Here is a 23,479-nt window from a genome sequence, read left to right as displayed (position 1 = left end):
TGAGGAAAGAATAATAGGCCTTGTGATAGCAAAGAAAATGCTGTGGGGGGTGATAGAGCTGGACGGTGGTGACTCAGAAGAGCAGGACTTATGCATTTGAGGGAAAACGGAATAGTGTAGAAGCGCAACTGGGAAGACAGAGAGTGCCAAACGTCCCTCCTGGCCCAGGATACAGGAGTGGTGTCCAGTAGTCTCCTCCTTGGATGGCTACAGGGGAAGGATTCTTCTCAGAGGAGAGCAAATAGTCTAACAGAATGTTCTGCAAATTAATGAAAGACAAATTTTAATTTGTTTATAATAGAACAAACATTAGAAAATAGTAATTAAATTCCTTTGAGTCATGGACACTTTGAGAGTCTAATAAAAGTTATGTTTTAATAACTAATAAACAGAGTATTGCAATTGTATCTAACAATTACATGTTTTCTTCCTCCTTATTTTTTTTTTTTCCCAAGATGAGGTCTTGCTTTGTCACCCAGGCTGGAGTGCAGTGGTATAATCATGGCTCACTGCAGCCTTGACCACCAGGGTTCAAGTGATTCTCTCCCACCTCAGCCTCCCAAAAAGCTAGAACCACAGGCACATACCACAACACCCAGCTAAATTTTTTTATCATTTGTAGAGACAGGGTCTCACTATGTTGCCCAGCTGGTCTCAAACTCCTGGCCTCAAGCAATCCTCCTGCCTCAGCCTCCCAAAGTGCTGGAATTACAGGCATGAGCCACCAGGCCCAGCTTCTTCCTACTATTTTTAATATTGAAAAAAAGATACTGACTAAATTATAAAAACAATAAGACATGACAGTTATTTGTTTCATTATATATTAAGCAGGCTCAGTTTAAAGTAAGTTGATTAGCATTAAAGTCATATCTGAAGGCCCAAAATGAACTTGAAATGATTCTACTTCCCAATGTTTATACATTTTCTCCCACTGATCTGATAATCCTGTTCCTAAAATCCAGACATCCATATGAGAGTTCACAAGAGGTCCTTATGGCTTAGTCCATTTGTTTGGTTGTTTGGGGGTTTTGTTTTGCTTAGTTTTTTGCTTTGGTTTTGTTTACATTTTTGTTTTATGTTTGTTTGTTTGGTCACTATTGGGCTAATACTGACCATTATTTAGATTTATAACCTTCAATCTTGTGATGAATTGGTTTTGAAAACTGCAGGCTACAATTTTTTATTTCTCTAGTAAGCTCCTGGAAGTCAAGATATTTTATATTTTCAAAAATAAAATTCTCTTCTTCAGACCGACTGTGCCCACGATAGTTTACAGCTACAACCAGGAATAACAAATGCAAGGACTGCGATCAAGTTAACATGGATTTGACTGAATATACATCCAAACTTATAAGTGGGTTACAGAAAGTCAATTGGCAAGTCATTTGTATGGAAATAGTGATGAGTTTTCCCATTTAAAAGTTAATAATGGCCAGGCACGGTGGCTCACGCCTGTAATCCCAGCACTTTGGGAGGCCGAGGCAGGTGGATCACTTGAGGTCAGGAGTTCAAGACCAGCCTGGCTAACATGGTGAAACCCCGTCTCTACTAAAAATACAAAAAATTAGCCAGGCATGGTGGTGGGCGCCTGTAGTCCCAGCTACTCAGGAGACTGAGGCAGGAGAATTGCTTGAACCCAGGAGGCAGAGGTTGCAGTGAGCCAAGATCATGCCACTGCACTCCAGCCTGGGCGACAGAGCGAGACTCTGTCTCAAAAAAGAAAAAAAGAAATGAGTAAATTAATTAGTGTGTGTAAATTGCCAAAACTTGAACAAGAAGAAACAGAAAAGATGACTAATCATCAACCAGTAAATAAACTGAAATAATGAAAGACATCTCCCTTTAAGATTTTTTCTCAGCTCAGTTAGCTTTCTGGGTGAACACAGATTCCATGTTACCGTGGAAGTGAGTGGCAGATATACAGCAATGTAGGTTGAGCATCCCTAATCCAAATTTTCAAAATCTGAAATGCTCCGAAATCCAAAACCTTTTTAGCACCAGCATGACACCATGCGTTGAAAATGTTATACTTGACCTTATGTGACGAGTCACAGTCAAAACGCAGGCACACAATACACAGTTTACTCAGCATCCTCAAGCAGAAAAAAAAAAAAAAAAAAACCCTCCCAGCTCCCTTCAGCTGCCATATATCTTTTCCACATACACCCAGTTTCCCCCACGCAAGCAAGCACACACACAAAGGATAGTAAAATGGCATATGTGCAGGCCAGGCATGCTGATGGCAGGTTTCCCACAATGCCCCACATGGAGCCAAGACCTGCATGCATGACTCAACTGTGTTTGGTTGCTTACTCTCTTTGCTGTGTGGTGTAAAGATATTGTTGAAAATGACAAAATGGCCTGCAGATACCCCTCAGGGTAACTGATAAAAAGAGGAAGCATTTATGTTTACCTCTAGCACAGAAAGCCAAGCTGTTGGAGAAACTGGACAGGAGTATATGAAACATCCATATATGACCTGAAGAAACAGAAGGATACACCGCTGAAGTTCTGTGCTGAAACTGATTCACAGAAGTTAGTGAAGATTAGAAAACTGCATAAAGCCAAACATGAAGATTTTGATCATGTATTGAAAGTGCGGATCTGTCCACGTCACAGTGAACACATGGCACATAGTGGTATGCTGACCATGAAACAAAGGCCAATGATGAACTGAAAATTAAAAGGAACTGTGAATAATCAATAGTCTGGTTGCAGAAATTTAAGAAAAGACACAGCATTACATTTTTAAAGATTTGTGATGATAAAGCATCTGCTGATCACAAAGCAGTGAAGAAATTCATTGAGTTTGCCAGAGTCATGGCTAATGAAAATCTGAAGCCAAAACAAGTCTATAATGCTGATGAAACATCACTGTTTTGGCATCATTGCCTCAGAAAGACACTGACTACAGCTGATGAGACAGCACCTACTAGAATTAAGGCTGCCAAGAACAGAATATGCTGGGATGTGCTAATGCATCAGGCATACATAAGTGGGGTGATAGATAAAAACTTGTGTCCTCACTGTTTTCAAGGAGTGAATTTCTTACCAGTCTGTTATTATGCTAACAAAAAGACCTGGAGCACCAGGGACATCTTTTTTGATTGGTTTCACAAACATTTGGTACCAAGTGGCTCATGCTTGCTGCAGGGAGACTCAATTGGATGATGACTGCAAAGATTTTGTTATTACATGACAACTGTTCTGCTCATCTCCCAGCTGAAATTCTCATTTAAAAAATGTTTATTCTGGCCGGGCGCGGTGGCTCACGCCTGTAATCCCAGCACTTTGGGAGGCCGAGGCGGGCGGATCACGAGGTCAGGAGATCGAGACCATCCCGGCTAAAACGGTGAAACCCCGTCTCTACTAAAAATACAAAAAATTAGCCGGGCGTAGTGGCGGGCGCCTGTAGTCCCAGCTACTCGGGAGGCTGAGGCAGGAGAATGGCGTGAACCCGGGAGGCGGAGCTTGCAGTGAGCCGAGATCCCGCCACTGCACTCCAGCCTGGGCGACAGAGCGAGACTCCGTCTCAAAAAAAAAAAAAAAAAAAAAAAATGTTTATTCTATGTACTTTCCCCTAAATGTGACTTCATCAATTTAGCCATGTGACCAGAGTATCCTTAGATCAATAAAGAGTAGATTAAAAAAACACTTTTCTTAAATAGCATGCTAGCTACCAGCAGTGTGCAGAGGTGTGGGTGTGAGAAAGTGTTCAAAAGGAGTTTAGCCTGAGGATGCTCTATATGCTGTTGCCATTGCTTGAAACAGGTGTGCATGACTGGCACAACTCTGGCCTACAACTATGTCGACTGGTAATGAAGTCACCAGATGGTGACTTTGAAGGATTATATATGTCAAGTGAGAAAAAAAAATGATGGCTGAACTCCTTACCTTTGCAAAAAAATAGACCTTCACAATCTGTCAGTTAGCTGGAAGAAGTGAATACTAAAGAAGTTTCTAACATTGATAACAAGGCTCTACTTGTTCATTCATTGACCAATGGTGAAATGGCCAAAATGATTCTGAATAAGGTAATTGTGGTAATAGTGATATTGTTAACACTGCAGAAAAAGTGCCTGTAGATGACAGGGTAAAATTGTGTGATGGGCTTATTGAAGAACTAGAGCAGCAGGCATTCATAACAGAACAACTCATGTCTATTTATAAAATCAAAGAGAGACTGCTAAAATAAGAGCTATTGTTGAGATGGGGGCCAAGAGGGCCCATTAGAAGCAGCTGCAGTCCACAGCACAGAGAGGAATGAAAGCATCAAGTGAATTCAGCACCTTCAACTGAAATATCCAGGTTCTCGCATTGGGACTGACTAAACAATCACCCTGATCCAGAGAGAATAAAGAAAAGCAGAGTGGGTCAGTGGCCCACCCAGGAGCCTCACGGAGCCAAAGGAACCCCCACCCCCAGCAAAGGGAAGCGGTGACCGATTGTGCGACCCGCCCAGGACCATGCTTCTCCCACAGATCTTTGCAACTTGTGGATCAGGAGATCCCCTCATGAGCCCACGCTACCAGGGCCTTGGGTCCAATAAACAGAGCTGTGCGGAGTCTCAGCACAGGTACACACAGAGACAAGAGTTTTACATACTCCGGCCCCGGAATTTCCAGCAAGGTGACAGATCCCTTTGTACCTTCCCCTAGGAAGGGGGCTGAATCCAGGGAGCCAAGCAGCATTGTTCTGCAGGCCCCACTTCCACAGCACCTCACAAGTTAAGTCCCACTGTCTTGGAATTCCAGCCAGCCAATGGCAACACAGTGAGTCTGCCTGAAACAGGATGGAGTTCCCTGTGGGAGGGGTGGCTACCATTTCTGTGGTTTGGTCAACTGCACATTCCAGCCTGCCAGCTCCAGAGAGTCTGGGTGGTCCAGATGAGGAAGGGATACCCCCAACACAGCACAGCTGCTGTGCCAGATTGTGCCCAAACTGCTTTAAAGTGGGACCCTGATCCATTCCTCCTCACTGGGCAGGGCCTCCCTGTGGGGGGCCTTCAATCACTCCAGCCGGGCTTATATGGACAGAGAGCTCTGATCTCTCCCTGGGATGCAGCTCCCAGAAGGAGGGGAGGCTGCCATCTCTGTGGTTCAGTCAACTGAGCTGTTCCAGCTTGCCTACTCTAGAGAGTCTGGGCAGTCCAGATGAGGAAGGGTCCTCCCCAACAGAGCACACCTGCTCTACAGCCAGACTGCTTCTTTAAGCGGGTCCCTAATTCTGTTCCTCCTGACTGGGTGAGACCTTTCAATAAGGGTCTCCAGAAACCTCTGAAACGAGCATTTGGGCCAGCAGCAGGTCAGTACCCACCCTGGGATGGAGTGTCCAGAGGAAGGAGCAGGCTGCCATCTTTGCTGCTTCACAGCCTTCACTGTTGATACCTCCAAGTACAGGAAAAGCAGAGGCAACTAAGGTCTGGAGCAGACCCCCAACAAACCACAGCAGCCCTGTGGTTGCTAAGAGTCAGTAGCCTGACCGTGAAAAGAAAAAAACAACAACAACATCAACAAAAAAGACCCCACAGAAACCTTTTCAGAAGTCAGCAGCCTCAAAGGTCGAAGGTAGATAAGCCCACAAAGATGAGAAAGAATCAATGCAAAAACGCTGAAACTCAAAAAGACAGAGTGCCTCTTCTCCAGGTGAATGCAACACCTCTCCAGCAAGGCCTCGGAACTGCGATGAGGCTGAGATGGCTGAGTTGACAGAAGTAGGCTTCAGAAGGTGGGAAATAACAAACTTCGCTGAGATAAAGGAGCATGTCGTAACCCAATGCAAAGAAGCTAAGAATCATGATAAAACAATACAGGAGCTGATAACCAGAATAGCCAGTTTAGAGAGGAACATAACTGACTTGATGGAGCTGAAAAATATAACATGAGAACTTCACAGTGCAATCACAAGTATCAACAGCAGAAGAGACCAAGTGGAGGAAAGGATCTCAGACCTTGAAGACTATCTTTCTGAAATAAGACAGGCAGACAAGAATAGAGAAAAAAGAATGAAAAGGAATGAACAAAACCTCCAAGAAATGTGGGATTATGTAAAGAGATGGAACCTGCAACTGACTGGGGTACCTGAAGGAGACAGGGAGAACAGAACCAAGTTGGAAAACATACTTTAGTATATCATCCAGTAGAATTACCCCAACCTATCAAGACAGGCCAACATTCAAATTCAGGAAATGGAGAGAACCCCAGTAGGATACTCCATGAGAAGATTATCCAAGACACATACTTATCAGATTCCAGGTCAAAATGAAAGAATAAGTGTTAAGGGCAGCCAGAGAGAAAGGCCAGGTCACCTACAAAGGTAAGCCCATGAGACTAACAGCAGACTTCTCAGCAGAAACCCTACAAGCCAGAAGAGATTGGGGGCCAATATTTAAAATTCTTAAAGAAAAGAATTTCCAACCCAGAATTTCATTTTCAGCCAAACTAACCTTCATAAACAAAAGAGAAATAAGATCCTTTTCAGACAAGCAAATGTTGAGGGAATTCGTCAATACCAGGCCTACCATGCAAAAGCTCCTGAAGGAAGCACTAAATGTGGAAAGGAAAAACCATTACCAGCCACTATGAAAACACACTGAAGTACACAGACCAGTGACAGTATGAAGCAACCACATAAACAAGTCTGCAAAATAACCAGTTAGCATCATGATGACAGAATCAAATTCACACATAACAATACTAGCCTTAAATGTAAACGGGCTAAATGCACCAATTGAAAGACACAAAATGGCAAACTGGATAAAGAGCCAACCCCCATTGGTGTGCTGTCTTCAAGAGACCCATCTCACATGCAAAGACACACTTAGGCTCAAAATAAAGAGATGGAGGAAAATTTACCAAGCAAATGGAAAACAGAAAAAAGCAAGGGTTGCAATCCTAGTTCTGACAAAACAGACTTTACACCAGCAAAGATCAAAAAAAGACAAAGAAGGGCATTATATAATGGTAAAGGGTTCAATTCAACAAGAAGAGTTAACTCAGCTCTGGATCAAGCGGACCTGATAGATATCTACAGAACTCTCCACCAAAAAACAACAGAATATTCATTCTTCTTCTCACCCTACAGCACTTACTCAAAACTTGTTCACATAATCAGAAGTAAAACACTCCTTAGCAAATGCAAAAGAACCGAAATCATAAGAAACCATCTCTCAGACAACGGTGCAACCAAATTAGAACTCAAGATTAAGAAATTCACTCAAAACCACACAAGTACATAGAAATTGAACAGCCTGCTCCTGAATTACTTGTGGATAAATAACGAAATTAAGGCAGAAGTCAAGAAGTTGTATGAAATTAATGAGAACAAAGAGACAGTGTACCAGAATCTCTGGGACACAGCTAAAGCAGTGTTAAGAGGGAAATTTGTAGCACTAAATGCCCAGATCAATAAGCTAGAAAGATCTCAAGGTATCAACCTAACATCACAACTAAAAGAACTAGAAAACCAGACCAAACAAACCCCAAGGCAAGAAATAGCCAAGATCAGAGTGGAACTGAAGGAGATACAGACACACACACACACACACAAACCCTTCAAAAAATCAACAAATTCAGGAGCTGTTTTTTTGAAAAAAATTAATAAGATGATCTACTAGCTAGACTAATAGAAAAGAGAGAAGAATCAAATAACACAATCAGAAATGATAAGTGGGATATCACCACTGACCCCACAGAAATACATACAACCATCAGAGAATACTATGAATACCTCTATGCACATAAACTAGAAAATCTAGAAAAACATGGATAAACTCCTGGACGCATACACCTTCCCAAGACTGAACCAAGAAGAAATCGAATCCCTTAGTAGACCAATAATGAGTTCTAAAATTGAGGTAGTAGTAAATAGCCTACCAACCACAAAAAACCCAGGACCAGACAGATTTACAGCTGAATTCTGCCAGAGGTACAAAGAGCGGGTAGGTACCATTTCTACTGAAACTGTTCCAAAAAATTGAAAAAGAGGGACTCCTCCCTAACTGATTGTGTGAGACCAGCATCATCCTGATACCAAAACCTGGCAGAGATACAACAAAAAAAGAAAACTTCAGGCCAATATCCATGGTGAACATAGATACAAAAATCCTTAGTAAAATACTGGCAGACTGAATCTAGCAGCATATCAAAAAGCTTATCCACCACCATCAAGTGGGTTTCATCCCCAGGATGCAAGGTTGGTTCAACATTCGCAAATCAATAAACGTGATTCATCACATAAACAGAACTACAGACAAAAACCACATGATCTCAATAGATGCAGAAAAGGCCTTTGATAAAATTCGACATCGCTTCATGGTAAAAGCTCTCAATAAACTACTGCCCAAAGTAATTTATAGATTCAATGCTATCCCCGTTAGACTACCATTGACATTCTTCACAGAATTGGAAAAAACTATTTTAAAATTCATATGGAATTGAAAAAGAGCCGAATAGCCAAGACAGTCCTAAGCAAAAAGATCAAAGCTAGAGGCATCATGCTACCTGACTTCAAACTGTGTTACAGGGCTACCATAACCAAAACAGCATGGCACTGGTACAAAAAGCAGACACATAGACCAATGGAATTGAATAGAGAACTCAGAAATTAAGACTGCACACCTACAACAATCTGATCTTCAACAAACCTGACAAAAGCAAGCAATGGGGAAAGGATTCCCTATTTAATAAACGGTGCTGGGAGAACTGGCTAGTCATATGCAGAAAATTGAAACTGGACCCCTTCTTTGTACCTTATACAAAAATTAACTCGAGATGGATTAAAGACTTAAATGTAAAACCCAAAACTATAAAAACCCTAGAAGAAAATCTAGGCAATACCATTCAGGACATAGGCACTGGCAAAGATTTCATGACAAAAACACCAAAAGCAATAGCAATGAAAGCAAAAATTGACAAATGGGATGCAATCAAACTAAAGAGCTTCTGCACAGCAAAAGAAACTATCATCAGAGTGAACAGACAACCTACAAAATGGGAGAAAATGTTTACAATCTATCTTCCTGACAAAGGTCTAATATCCAGAGTCTATAAGGAACCTAAACAAATTTACAAGACAAAAAAAAAAACAACCCCATTAAAAAGTGGACAAAGGACATGAACAGACTCTTCTCAAAAGAAGACGTACATGTGGTTAACAAACGTGAAAAAAAGCTCAACATCACTGATCATTAGAAAAATGCAAATCAAAACCACAGTGAGATACCATCTCATGCCAGTCAGAATGGTGATTATTAAAAAGTCAAAAAAACAACAGATGCTGGCAAGGTTGCAGAGAAAAAAGAATGCTTTTCCACCATTGGTGGGAGTGCAAATTAGTTCAACCATTGTGGAGAACAGTGTGGTGCTTTCTCAAAGATCTAGAGGCAGAAATACCATTTGACCCAGCAATCCCATTATTGGGTATATACCCAAAGGAATATAAATCGTCCTCTTATAAAGATACATGCATGTGTTTGTTCATTGCAGCACTATTCACAATAGCAAAGACATGGAATCAACCCAAATGCCCACCAGTGATAGATTGAATAAAGAAAATGTCATACATACACACCATGGAATACTGTGCAGCCATAAAAAGGAACGAGATCATGTCCTTTGCAGGGACATGGATGGAGCTGGAGGCTGTTATCCTTGGCAAACTAATGTAGGAACAGAAAGCCAAGTACCACGTGGCCTCACTTATAAGTGGGAGCTGAACAATGGGAACACATGGATACTTGGTGGGGAACTACACACACTGGGGCCTGTTGGGGGATGAGGGAGAGCATCACTGGAAGAATAGCTAATGGGCGCTGGGCTTAATACCTAGGTGATTGGATGATCTGTGCAGCAAACCACCATGGTACACATTAACCTGTCTAACAAACCTACACATCCTACACATGTACCCCTGAGCTTAAAAGTTGAAGGAAAAAAAGCCATTGTTAATGAGGCAGATGACTCTAGAGGCAACATTTTGCAAAACCATCCAACAGAATGCCTCCTCATCCCTAAAGGACCCAGTTCCTGGTCCCTCAATTGCTTTTCATGTTTCTTCTCACCTGAAAACAAAAAATACAGTGGACAGTTACCTTTCCATCAAAACACAGCATGGTAGAGACGGAAAGCCTGCCGTTGTCTGTTGCTGTCTAACAGCTGAGACAGGTATTCTGGTGATGCTACTGTGCTTCTTAGTTACCTGAACACATTATTTTTTTTAACTGTATTAATGGCATATCATATTTTTAACTGTTAAGTACATGTGTAAGTGTAAGAAAATGATTGCTTATCAGTAGTACATGAATTCAGAGTCAGGAATAATGGTGATGCCAAACAACCACAGATTGTCCACATGGGTGGCTGAGTTAGTGACACCTTTGCTTTCCAGTGGCTCCTCGTATATAAACTATTTCATGCACAGAATTATTACAAATATTGGATAAAATGACCTCTAGGCTATGAGCGTAAGGTGCATATGAAAGATAAATGAATTTCATATTTAGACTTGGTTCTCATCCCCAAGATATTTCATTATATATTTGCAAATATTCCAAAATCTGAAAAAAACCAAAACACTTCTGGTCTCAAGCATTTCAGTGAAGGGATATTCAATCTGTATGGCTAAATTCTACCAAAAGAAGAGATTACTTGTATTACACAAATAGCTAAAGGAGATAGAAAAAGATTAAATACTACCCAACTAACTTAATGATGTTAGTATAACCTTGATTCTAAAAGTGAAAAGGGTAGTACAAGAAAAGGAAAAGGGAAATCCATTTTATTTATAAACACAGATGGAAAAAATGTTAATAACCTAATTAAATCCAACATTGCATTGCATTTGTTTGTTTGTTTGTTTGTTTGTTTAGACACTGTCACTCTGTCACCCAGGCTGAGCGCAGTGGCATGATCTTGGCTCTCTGCAACCTCTGTCTCCCAGGTTCAAGCGATTCTCCTGCCCCAGCCTCTTGAGTAGCTGGGACTACAGGCACGTGCCACCACGCCTGGCTAATATTTTTGTATTTTTTAGTAAAGACAGGGTTTCACCATGTTGGCCAGGCTGGTCTTGAACTCCTGGCCTCAGGTGATCAGCCAGCTTTGGCCTCCCAAAGTGCTGGGATTACAGGTGTGAGCCACCACACCCGGCCCCAAGATTGCATTTAAAAGTACTGAATAAACAGGTTTTTATCTAGTAATTGACTTGAAAACTTAATAAGAGTTTAAAGAAAATACCTTTAGACTAGTTCCATCACAGTTCTAATTTTTAAAACATCTTCGGCTGGGCATGGTGGTTCACGCCTGTAATCCCAACACTTTAGGAGGCTGAGGCAGGTGGATCACCTGAGTCAGGAGTTCGAGACCAGCCTGGCCAACATGGTGAAACACCATCTCTACTAAAATTCCAAAAAATTAGCTGGGCGTGGTGGCACACACCTGTAATCCCAGCTAGTCTGGAGGCTGAGGCAGGAGAATCACTTGAACCTGGGAGGTGGAGGTTGTGGTGAGCTGAGATCACACCACTGCACTCCAGCCTGAATGACAGAGAGAGACTTTGTCTCAAAATAAATAAATAAGATAAAAATAAAACATCTTCATCAACCTCTGGTAATCTACAGAAAACTTAATGTTATCGTGAAATCAAATACAATAGCACTTATAGGATATGTCTCACAAAACAGATGCCGACATCAGTGGCTCAGACAGTTGTCCAGAAGGAAAGTGGCCTGCAGCACACCCGAAAGATGCTGCATGTTGGTGACCCAAGTGTGAAAAAGACAGCCATCTCGCTGCTGAGGAATCTGTCCCGGAATCTTTCTCTGCAGAATGAAATTGGTGAGTCGGTATAAGTATCTATGTGTAATATGTACATGCTGAAGATACAATGCAATGAAATGTTGTCTGTATCACCTCCCGTTCACAAAGATGCACTGGAAATGGGAGTAAGGAGTAGGTGATAAACCGGCCTGCCTTTTGTGCCACCAGATATCACAAACAGGCTTTCTCAGTGGATCTCACCAGAGATTTTTTTTAAATATCCAACATTTAAAAAAAAAATTACTACAAAAGAGAAATTTTAGAGCATACTAATAATTAACAAGATAAGTAATATTGTTGATATTTTTCACTGGGTGGCACCCTCAGTCACACCATCCAATGAAGTCTTTCTAATCCATATAGTTGTCTTTCAGAATGTTCTCTCTGTGGCTCTCTTAAGCACCACAATTCTAGAACATTTGAAAAACACATATAGTGGTGGTTTACTTTAGTAGTTTGGCAGTGTGTTGGACTATTAAAAAAATGGATAAACAGATAATCACAATAAAAAGACAAGGAGTCACTGAATATAGCAAATTTGGCATGGATTTTTTTTGAGTAACTGTGATGAGACATATTTTGCCTTTGACTGTATTATTGACAGAGATGATAACGGTACTTTTTTATTTGTTTGCTTATACCAAGAAGTATGTGATAAATGTTTGTTGTATCTAGTAGAAAATTACAAAATGAGATGATAGAAAGATAATGCTAAAATTAAACATGCTTCATAATGCTCTGTAATCGGTCGTTTCTAACAACTCAAATTCGGTTTTTCACATTTCACAAAAATTATAAACAATATTTTGCCTGTTTTAATGGATTAGATTTTTAAATATGCACATATATAGCCCCAGAGATATTAAAGGCTGCAGTTATGTTTTAGTAATGTCATTTTCAAAGCCAGCCAGCAGCACATTTGACAGGAGGTTTTATGCAATGGCTTCATGCTCATTCTAAGTAGAGATAAGCCTGGAACATTCTCAGTGAATCTGAAAGAGACCTCGCCATAGGCACTCTCAGAATTATTAAAATGCTCTCCCCATGGTCTTTTGTGCTGAACTTCAATGGCAGTGTATTATCCTTTCCCTTTTTTGTTCTTTTCCCAAATGAAAAATTGACTCCATCTTTAAAACACCACCAAGGTAAATAACAGCACTATACACATTAAGCATGTACCTTCAGGGCAGAAATGCTGTTGGCCTCAGGTTCTGCAGTCCCCTAAATGTCGGGAAGGTATAGCTGTAGCCACATGGTTTATATTAGAGGATTCTGTTGATAAACTTCACTTTAAGGATAACAGAGAAAAGAGGCTTCAGCAAGATAAATGCTATTTTAAAATTCCAGATTGGCTTCATGTCAAATATATAAGTAAAAGGACTTCTCTTAATTCAGAATTTTAATAGCAAGAAATAAGTGAAAGTCAGCTTGAACACATGCTTTGTGTTTCTCATGAGAGCTTTCTAAGCCAGGTAACTTTCCCTGTTCTCACCTGCAATAAAGTTGTTATGTTTTACTTACATCTAGAGAAATAAACTTGAAACTTACATTTTCTCAAAAACTTAAAGACAGGCAATGGAGCATGGTAACAGAATAACAGATTTCACACAGAAAACATGGGTTTGTATCTCACAGTGCTATTTTGCCAGTCAAGGCCTTTCATTCTGTAGTTTAACTTACTAAAAGGAGGGAGACTTCTGATAATAGCATCCACTGAGAGCTTACCACATGCGCAGTACTGCAATACAATTAACATGCATTGACTCGTTCCCTCAGAACAACCCTGTGACGTAGACATTATTATCCCACATTGCAACTTAGGGAAAAACAAATAGAGACATTAAGTAGCTTGCTCAGGCCATAGAGCTGTAAAGTAGCAGAACCAGGACTGAAACTACAGCACTCTGGCTTTAGATGAACGCTGAGCTCTCCACAGTATGCTGTGTGCTTGAACCACAGTCAAAAGGAAAGTGTTCAGGCCTGTGAGCAAAAGGTATGTCTTACCTGTCAATCAGGTCCAGGTATTATGATGACATATCATTCAGTGCCTTTTATTGAGTACTTGTCCATTTCAGGAATAATGATCAACGCTGTAAACACAGAAATAAGTAAGATAATTGGCTTCAAGGAACCCACAGCCTCATCTGAAGTTGAGACAGTCACACAATTCATTACTATCAGTATCATAGAGAGAGAAATGTGCTTCAAGATGCCACATGAACACAGATGAAGGCACACAATAAAATTAGGCAGTATTTGTTAATTGCTGATAAACACAACACGTATTCAGAAGCTGTGGGGATCAGCAAAAGCAAAAGATGCATGCTCTCTATCTTTTAAGAAGAGTCTAAAGTGGTTAGAGGAAAAAGAGGAAAACATACATGAAAATAACTATTACAAAAAGTTTAAGCACAAGTTCACATTGACCAAAATATGTACCATAGGACAAGTTCCAGTGGATTTATCAAATATTAACACCTTTTAAGAATTTTCAATAGATTTTTGGGTACAGGTGGTGTTCAGTTACATGCAAAAGTTATTTAGTGATTATTTCTGAAATGTTGGTGCACATGTCACCTGAGCAGTGTACACTGTACCCAATGTGTAGTCTTTTATCCCTCACCCCTTCCTACCTTTCCCCCAAGTCCCCAAAATCCATTATATAACTCTTGTTCCTTTGCATCCTCATAGCTTAGCTCTCACTTATAAGTGAGAACATCCAATATTTGGTTTTCCATTCCTGAGTTATTTCACTTAGAATAGTGGTCTCTAATTCCATCCAATTTGCCGCAAAGGCCATTATGTCTTTCTTTTTAATGGCTGAGTAGTATTCCATGGTGTGTATATACCACATTTCCTGTATCCACTCGTTGGTTGATGGGCATTTAGGTTGGCTCCATATTTTGCAATTGTGAATTGTGCTGCTATAAACATGCATGTACAAGTGTCTTTTTCATATAATGACTTCTTTTCCTTTGGGTAGATACCCAGTAGTGGTATTGCTGGATCAAATGGTAGTTCTACTTTTAGTTCTTTAAGGAATCTCTATACTGTTTTCCATAGTGGTTGTACTAGTTTACATTCCCACCAGCAGTGTAGAAGTGTTCCCTTTTCACCATATCCATGCCAACATCTATTAAATTTTGATTTTTAAATTATGGTCATTCTTGCAGGAGTAAGGTGGTATCTCATTGTGCTTTTAATTTGCATTTCCATGATAATTAGTGATGTTGAGCATTTTTTCATATGTATGAGGCGTATCAAAAAATTTTTCTTATGCCATTTGTATATCTTCTTTTGAGAATTGTCTATTCATGTCCTTAGCCCACTTTTTGATGGAATTATTTGGCTTTTTTCTTGCTTTTTTGAGATCCTTGTAGATTCTGGATATTAGTCCTTTGTCGAATGCAGTTTGTGAATATTTTCTCCCACTCTGTGGGGTGTCTGTTTACTCTGCTGATTATTTATTTTGCTGTGCAGAAGCTTTTTAGTTTAATTGGATCCCATTTACTTATTTTTGGTTTTGTTGCATTTGCTTTTGGGTTCTTGGTCATGAACTCTTTGCCTAAGCCAATGTCTAGAAGAGTTTTTCCAGTGTTATCTTCTAGAATTTTTATGGTTTCAGGTCTCAGATTTAATCTTTGATCCATCTTGAGTTGATTTTTGTATAAAGTGAGAGATGAGGATCCAGCTTTATTCTTTTACATGTGGCTTGCCAATTATCCCAGCATCATTTGTTGAATATGTTGAATAGGGTGGCCTTTCCCCACTTAATGTTTTTGTTTGCTTTGTCAAAGATCAGTTGGCTGTAAGTATTTTGCTTTATTTCTGGGTTTTCTATTCTATTCCATTGGTCTATGTATCTTTTTTATTTTCTATAGCCTAATTGTGAAAGTGGCATGTCTATTTTTTTAATACCTTTCTTGTTAGTACAAAAAAAAAAAGCCAAACTCAAAACTTATAACCAAGAAGTTATATACATAGTAGAAAAGTACATTTAAAATAGTTTATTTCTCTTTTTAAAATAGTAGGCCAGGCGCAGTGGCTCACGCCTGTAATCCCAGCAGTTTGGGAGGCTGAGGCGGGCAGATCACCTGAGGTCAGGAGTTCGAGACCAGCCTCAACATGGAGAAACCCCATCTCTACTGAAAAAAAAAATATACAAAAAATTAGCCGGGCATGGTGGTGCGTACCTGTAATCCTAGCTACTCGGGAGGCTGAGGCAGGAGAATTGCTTGAACCTGGGAGGCGGAGGTTGCAGTGAGATGAGATCGTGCCATTGCACTCCAGCCTGGGCAACAAGAGCGAAACTCCATCTCCAAAAAAAAAAAAAAAACAAGAGTAGTATTACTTATGTATTGGAAAAACCTTGGGAAGCAAAGATTATTCGTTTATTATTTATTTACTATTTAATTTTACTTTTTAAAATAGAGACGGGGTCTCATTATATTTTCCAGACTGGTCTCAAACTCCTGGGCTCAAGTGATCCTCCTGTCTCGGCCTTCTAAAGTGCTGGGATTACAGACATGAGCTACCTTGCCTGGCCTTAAAAATGATTTTAGCTTGGCCAGGCGCGGTAGCTCACGCTTCTAATCCCAGCACTTTGGGAGGCCCAGGCGGGCGGATCACAAGATCAGGAGATCAAGATCATCCTGGCTAACAAGGTGAAACCCCGTCTCTACTAAAAATACAAAAAAATTAGCCCGGCGTGGTGGCGGGCACCTGTAATCCCAGCTACTCGGGAGGCTGAGGCAGGAGAATGGCATGAACCCGGGAGGCGGAGCTTGCAGAGAGCCGAGATCGCGCCACTGCACTCCAGCCTGGGTGACAGAGCAAGACTCTGTTTCAAAAAAAAAAAAAGATTTTAGTTCACTATTAATATTGTTGTAGAAAAACAGCTCCTATTAACATTTTTCCTCAGGTTTCTTACGTGGGTTTTTTGGTAATAGTATGTATTCTTTTTTTTTTTTTTTTTGAGACAGGGTCTCTCTCTGTTGCCCAGGCTGGAGAATAGTGGCGTGATCTCTGCCCACTGCCACTTCTGCCTCCCAAGCTCAAGCAATTCTTGTGCCTCAGCCTCCTGAGTAGCAGGGACTACAGGCACAGGCATGTGCCACTACGCCCAGCTAATTTTTGTATTTTTAATAGAGACAGGGTTTCACCATGTTGGCCAGGCTGGTCCTGAACTCCTGACCTTAAGTGATCCACCCACCTCAGCCTCCCAAAGTGCTGGGATTACAGGTGTGAGCCACCGAACCTGGCCAATAATATTATGTATTATTTATATAAATATACTGATTTTTCACATACACTATTAACATAATTATTTTCTTTTTATTATACATGCTTCATAGATAGGTTTTGTGATGAATAATAGTCTTTGCAGGTGTGTTTTAGTTAATCATAGTCCTATTATAAGGATATTCAGGCTTTTTAGTTTTTCAGTTACATGTAGTACTGTCATAAAGATCTCTGTAGAAAGCTTTTTTCATTTTCAAAGTGATATTTTTAAGATGTATTCCTAGACATGGAATTACCGAATTGAAGAAGATGAAAATGTTTTAAGTTCTTGACATTTCTGCCAAATTACACTCTGAAAAGATTTTCAATATACTGAGCACAGAGTATCCTCTTTTCAAATATTTTTAAAAATTTGTTATTAGGGAAATTACATCTTTCCATGTGTTGTTAACCAGCTGTGTTTCTTTTTAAGAAAGTTCTTGGCCGGGCGCAGTGTCTCACGCCTGTAATCCCAGCACTTTGGGAGGCCGAGGCTGGCGGATCACGAGGTCAGGAGATCGAGACCATCCTGGCTAACACGGTGAAACTCCGTCTCTACTGAAAATAAAAAAAAATAAAAAAATAAAAAAATTAGCCAGGCGTGGTGGCGGGTGCCTGTAGTCCCAACTACTCGGGAGGCTGAGGCAAGAGAATGGCGTGAACCCGGGAGGCAGAGCTTGCAGTGAGCCAAGATGGTGCCACTGCACTCCAGCCTGGGCAACAGAGCAAGATTCCGTCTCAAAAAAAGAAAAAGAATGTTCTTCACCCAAAATATATTGGGATCTTGGGATTAAGAAACAATCTTTTTAATCAAGTGTTTTGTTTTTTTTTTCATTTTGTAGCCAAAGAAACTCTCCCTGATTTGGTTTCCATCATTCCTGACACAGTCCCGAGTACTGACCTTCTCATTGAAACTACAGCCTCTGCCTGTTACACATTGAACAACATAATCCAAAACAGTTACCAGAATGCACGCGACCTTCTAAACACCGGGGGCATCCAGAAAATTATGGCCATTAGTGCAGGCGATGCGTAAGTCCTTCAGTTCTGCCCGTCAGCTGCCTCCCTTTCCCCTCACCAGCCTGTGTGTAAATAATCCGGTTGTGAATGTGCGGTCATGACCATCATGTGCAACATGGCAGCAAACAGGATGTAAAGCCAGGCCAGATCATCTGGTCAGCCCTCAGTGATCAGCCAAGGAAAGAACTGAATCCACCACACCACATGCTTGTCCCTTCTCTTCTAAAGTATCAACAGAGGGTCAGACTCCAGAACTTCTCTTGGTTGTGCATTCCAGCATTGTATTGGCCTAATGAATTAGTTTCCCAAAGCCACAGCTGTGATTTAATAACAGCAGAATGTAGGCAAAGCAGGAGTCCTCTGAATAGGCAAGTGCCCTTTTCCTCACTTCCATCTTAGGAGGGGATGTCACACCAGGTGGTTTAGAAGAAGCAGTGATGGGCTGGGCACAGTGGCTCATGCCTGTAATCCCAGCACTTTGGGAGGCCCAAGCAGATGGATCACTTGAGGTCAGAAGTTCGAGACCAGCCTGGCCGACATGGCAAAACCCTGTCTCTAGTAAAAATACAAAAATTAGCTGGGTGTGGTGGTGCGTGTCTGTAATTCTAGCTACTTGGAAGACTGAGGTTTGAGAATCACTTGAGCCCAGGAGGCAGAGGTTGCAATGAGCCGTGATCGTGCCACTGCACTCCAGCCTGGTTGACAGAGTGAGATTCTGTCTCAAAAAAGAAAAAAAAAAAAAAGCAGCAGCAGCAGTGATGACACAGGAGAAGCAGTCAGGGGGTAGCCTGATGAGAAAGTCTTGCTTTCACAGTTTTTTCTCTGTCTTATCTCTTCCGCATCTTATTCCCTTTTGATAATAGAAGGTCCAATGCATGTCATTCCACATCTGTGTTCCTGTTTTCAACTTTTCCCTATTAAAAAAAAAAAGGAGGAGAATGAAAAACCTTGTATAACCAAATTATTTACTATTAGTTAATTTAGAGTGATGAGATTGGAAAGGGGCATGAAGATTATCTTTTTCTCTTTATACAATTCTGAATTGTTTGACTTATTACAAATAGATATGTTACTTTTGTAAATAACCAAACAAGAAAAGAAATGGCTATGATAGCCTAGTTTTAATGAGTTACAAAGCAGATGACTTCACCTGTACTGAAGAAATGTGTGCTTGGCTGTACAGGGATGTACATGTTACCTCTACTACAGCCCCACCCAATTTAGGCCCCTTCTGCTCTGCAGCCCCACTCTGCAGTGCACACAAGGAAGGAAGACTGCATTTAGAGTCAGATTAAAACAAGCCCTGAGCACTGGCTGGAGTGTCAGTTCCCCAAGAATATTCACCCATCCCCAGAGGCTGGCAGATAGTATTAGAGTTGCTCAGTCTTTGTGGAAAGAGTGAATTACTGTTGCAAAACAGAAATGACTTTTCTTCCAAATAGTCATCCAAACTTCCAAGCAAATCACCGTAAGATAGTATGATGCTCATTATTCGAGTATTCAGACATAACAATTGTTGCACATGGCAATATGCAATTACTTTTGGAAACTTCTGGTAGCTTAGCAAGATAAGGGGTGAGCTACTCTGTTACTTGTTTATTTCCGAGTGTCCACTTGTGAGTCCTCACATGCCCTGTCTCAAAAACAAAAGTTAACAAGGAGCTTCTTGCCAGTGGTGTCTGCTGCTCTTTCCTTACTAGAGTGTTATATATCTGACCTACCGTTTGTGGACTAGCCTGGGAACTAATTATCATTTATAACATTACATCTTTGAATAAAAGAGTACCAAGTATCAAACAACCAACTTATAAACAAATATTATGAATATAACAGCCTTGCAATTTAATAACTTTTTACAGTTTTGAATATTAGAGACCCATCACTTTGATGGATTTATTTGCCCTTCAGTTATTACCAAGTGATTCTGAAAAGTCCAGGGGTTACTAATAAGTGCTGATTTGACTGCTCCTCCCTGCCAGGCTAGTATGGAGGAGAAAGACTTTTCACTCTTGAAGGAACACACCATGCTCTTCTCCGTACATCTTTGCACTCTCTGGTTTTGGTTTTATGTTTACAAATGCCTGTGATATGGGGGGAAAAAGAATCTTTGTTTAAGAAAAAAAATCAGCCATGTGCTAATCAGGTGATAGAAGAGAAAGAGATCTAAGGCGGCACTGATCTAAGCCAGAGGTGGGACATTTAGGATAAAGTTAAAAGCAGAACATGGGCTGGGCACAGTGGCTCACATCTGTAATCCCAGCACTATGAGAGGCCGAGGCAGGCGGATCATGAAGTCAGGAGATCGAGACCACCCTGGCTAACACAGTGAAACCCCATCTCTACTAAAAATACAAAAAATTAGCCTGGCGTGGTGGCATGCGCCTGTAGTCCCAGCTACTTCGGAGGCTGAGGCAGGAGAATCGCTTGAACCTGGGAGACGGAGGTTGCAGTGAGCCGAGATCGCTCCACTGCACTCCAGCCTCAAAAAAAAAAAAAAAAAAAAAAAAGCAGAATATGAAAGACTAAGTACAGTTCAAATGCAGTGGTGACTTTGATTTATAGCAAGAACAAGTTTTCCATTTGCTCTATATGGAAACGTAAAGAGATTTTGAAACTGCTTTAACAAGGGCTGCCACAAGAATTTCTTTTATTGACTTGAAAAATTACTCCTACATTCATGATGTCACAAAATCGTATGTATTTTTCAGTCATGGTTTCATGCATTTTTATTCTATAAACATACATTATAAGTATACAAATATAGATTATATTCTATAAATAATTCAAGGATTTATAACATATCTAAAGATACATTCCTTATAAATATCAGGGATTTTTCTGTATAAATTACTTGTTTGTTTATTATTATTATTATTATTTTGAGATGGAGTCTAGCTTTGTCACCAGGCTGGAGTGCAGTGGCGTGATCTCGGCTCACTGCAACCTCCGCCTCCCGGGTTCAAGTGATTCTCCTGCCTCAGCCTCCCGAGTAGCTGGGATTACAGGCACACACTGCCACGCCCAGCTAGATTTTGTATTTTTAGTACAGACGGGGTTTCACCATGTTGGCCAGGATGGTCTGACCTCGTGATCTACCCACCTCAGCCTCCCAAAAGTGCTGGGATTACAGGCGTGAGCCACCCCACCTGGCCTATAAACTATTTATTTATTAGCACTGTGCTAGTGGTTTAAAAAGAAAACAAAAACAGATATGGTCCCCGCCTTGCAGAGCTTGCTGCCTAATTGTCTGGTCACCGAGTGGCCTGACTTCATGGATGGCTGCTGCGGAGTAGCAGTTGAGGAGCGAAGAGGTCTTACAGAACACCCACAGGCCGCATCCAGAAGCCTCACTCATTCTCCCTGATCTCAGAATGTCCTTTTCTTTTCAGCTATGCCTCCAACAAAGCAAGTAAAGCTGCTTCCGTCCTTCTGTATTCTCTGTGGGCACACACGGAACTGCATCATGCCTACAAGAAGGTAAGAACATGAACAAGGAATGTGTCATAGTTAACAGAGCCAGGTAATAATGGCCCACTTGACTTGACCCTGGGAAGAAATCGCTAAAAAACTGCATTTTCTTGTGTGCCAGTTTTGTTACCTTTCACGTTTCTGTTTGCTTATTCCAAAGGCTCAGTTTAAGAAGACAGATTTTGTCAACAGCCGGACTGCCAAAGCCTACCACTCCCTTAAAGACTGAGGAAAATGACAAAGTATTCTCGGCTGCAAAAATCCCCAAAGGAAAACACCTATTTTTCTACTACCCAGCCCAAGAAACCTCAAAAGCATGCCTTGTTTCTATCCTTCTCTATTTCCGTGGTCCCCTGAATCCAGAAAACAAATAGAACATAATTTTATGAGTCTTCCAGAAGACCTTTGCAAGTTTGCCACCAGTAGATACCGGCCACAGGCTCGACAAATAGTGGTCTTTGTTATTAGGGCTTATGGTACATGGCTTCCTGGAATCAAAATGTGAATTCATGTGGAAGGGACATTAATCCAATAAATAAGGAAAGAAGCTGTTGCATTACTGGGATTTTAAAAGTTTGATTTACATTTATATTCCTTTTCTGGTTCCCATGTTTTGTCACTCATGTGCACATTGCTTCGCCATTGGGCCTCCAGTGTATTGTTCTGCAGTGTTGAAACAGAATGGAAATGACAAGAAATATCTGCAGTTATCCAGGAGAAAGTATAATGGCAAAATTATTGGTTTCTTTCTTTACTTTGTGCTTGTTTTTATCCCCTTGGGTTGTTTTTCTCTGATTTTTAAATAAACTTAAGAAATTTAGATTACAGAGTATGCATGACTGTAAGAAAAAGAAATTGAGAGGAAGTGATCATAGCAAATTAAAGAAGTCTTTTCCTCCCAGAACTTAAAGTAAAATAAAAAATAAATAAATAAATAAAATCTTTTCCACAGAGAAAGGCAACTGTGATGATAAAATTTAACGTTCCCCCAAACACTGAGTCAATGAGATTTTTCTCAGGAGATACTTTACCTATAACAACGCCGTTAAATCCAAATCTCTTCTAAACGATGGCATTCTATGTAATGCCTTTCCTGGACTTTTTTGGCCACTGCCCTGGACTAGTGAAAGAATGGACTCTATCTTTATCTGCAAGAGGAACTAAGGCCTTCTCTCAGACTGCCTGGCCAGCCTGGGGCACTGAAAATACGGCTCATGTTAATGAGTTACATTATCAGCCAGCCCAGCCTTGCCCACCATTTAAGAAATATCACAGAGCCACTAGATCTCATATGATCTTCTTCAAGCCATTATTTTAACTCAAGAAAACTCTAGAGAAGAAAAGTGAAGAAGTCATGTTGAAGAAGATGTAAGAATGTGTCAAGACCATCCAGAAATGATATGAGAAATACTGATATTTTAAATGGTTGACATCATCCAGCGAAATGAATCTACATTAAATGTTGTTTTAACTGCGCTATGATTAAAACCATTCATATAGAGTTAGTCTTTACAACTACTATTCTGTTATTTTTTTTTTTAATCTGACAACATTTGTCCTAAGTAAGATAAGCAAAAAAATTCTTCAACTCCTTTTGGCAAGAAAACTGTAACAGAAAATAAATTTTGAATGTGTACTTAAGTCTTTATTATATTTGAAGCAATTTTTTTTCAATTTTAAAAGCTGAATGAAGACAACTTAGGTTGCTAACCTAGTTCAAAATGAAATTATTTAGATACCAATTTTTAAAATACTGGAGAGAATTTATATGTCTTTTTCCAGAGTTCTGATGATAAGCATTTGGAGTGCATTTATTCCTCCAGATAATAAATGTGTGTTCAGAACTTTTTGTGTTTTTTAAGGCATTAATAAAGCCTTCGATAATATTAAATACAAAA

General features: G+C 40.4%; 1 protein-coding gene across 7 annotated transcripts in view; it reads left to right on the top strand.

Annotated features, from left to right (window-relative positions):
- PKP2 (plakophilin 2) overlaps nt 1-23,479 on the top strand; it is a 106,023-nt gene extending 82,544 nt beyond the window's left edge. For 5 of the 7 annotated variants that reach the window (NM_001407156.1, NM_001005242.3, NM_004572.4 and 2 more), the window contains 4 exons: nt 11,678-11,831; nt 17,936-18,125; nt 21,503-21,590; nt 21,742-23,479. In NM_001407156.1, coding sequence (NP_001394085.1) covers nt 11,678-11,831; nt 17,936-18,125; nt 21,503-21,590; nt 21,742-21,810 — 501 coding nt within the window. In that variant the 3' untranslated portion in view covers nt 21,811-23,479. The remainder of the gene's footprint in view (nt 1-11,677; nt 11,832-17,935; nt 18,126-21,502; nt 21,591-21,741) is intronic. The other 2 variants (NM_001407155.1, NM_001407160.1) reach the window with 1 other exon arrangement.

This window comes from Homo sapiens, chromosome 12, assembly GCF_000001405.40.
Source record: "Homo sapiens chromosome 12, GRCh38.p14 Primary Assembly".
NCBI classification, from domain to species: Eukaryota; Metazoa; Chordata; class Mammalia; order Primates; family Hominidae; genus Homo; species Homo sapiens.
The sequence above is the reverse complement of the archived record's forward strand: the minus strand, read 5'-3'. Positions and strand labels throughout refer to the sequence as shown.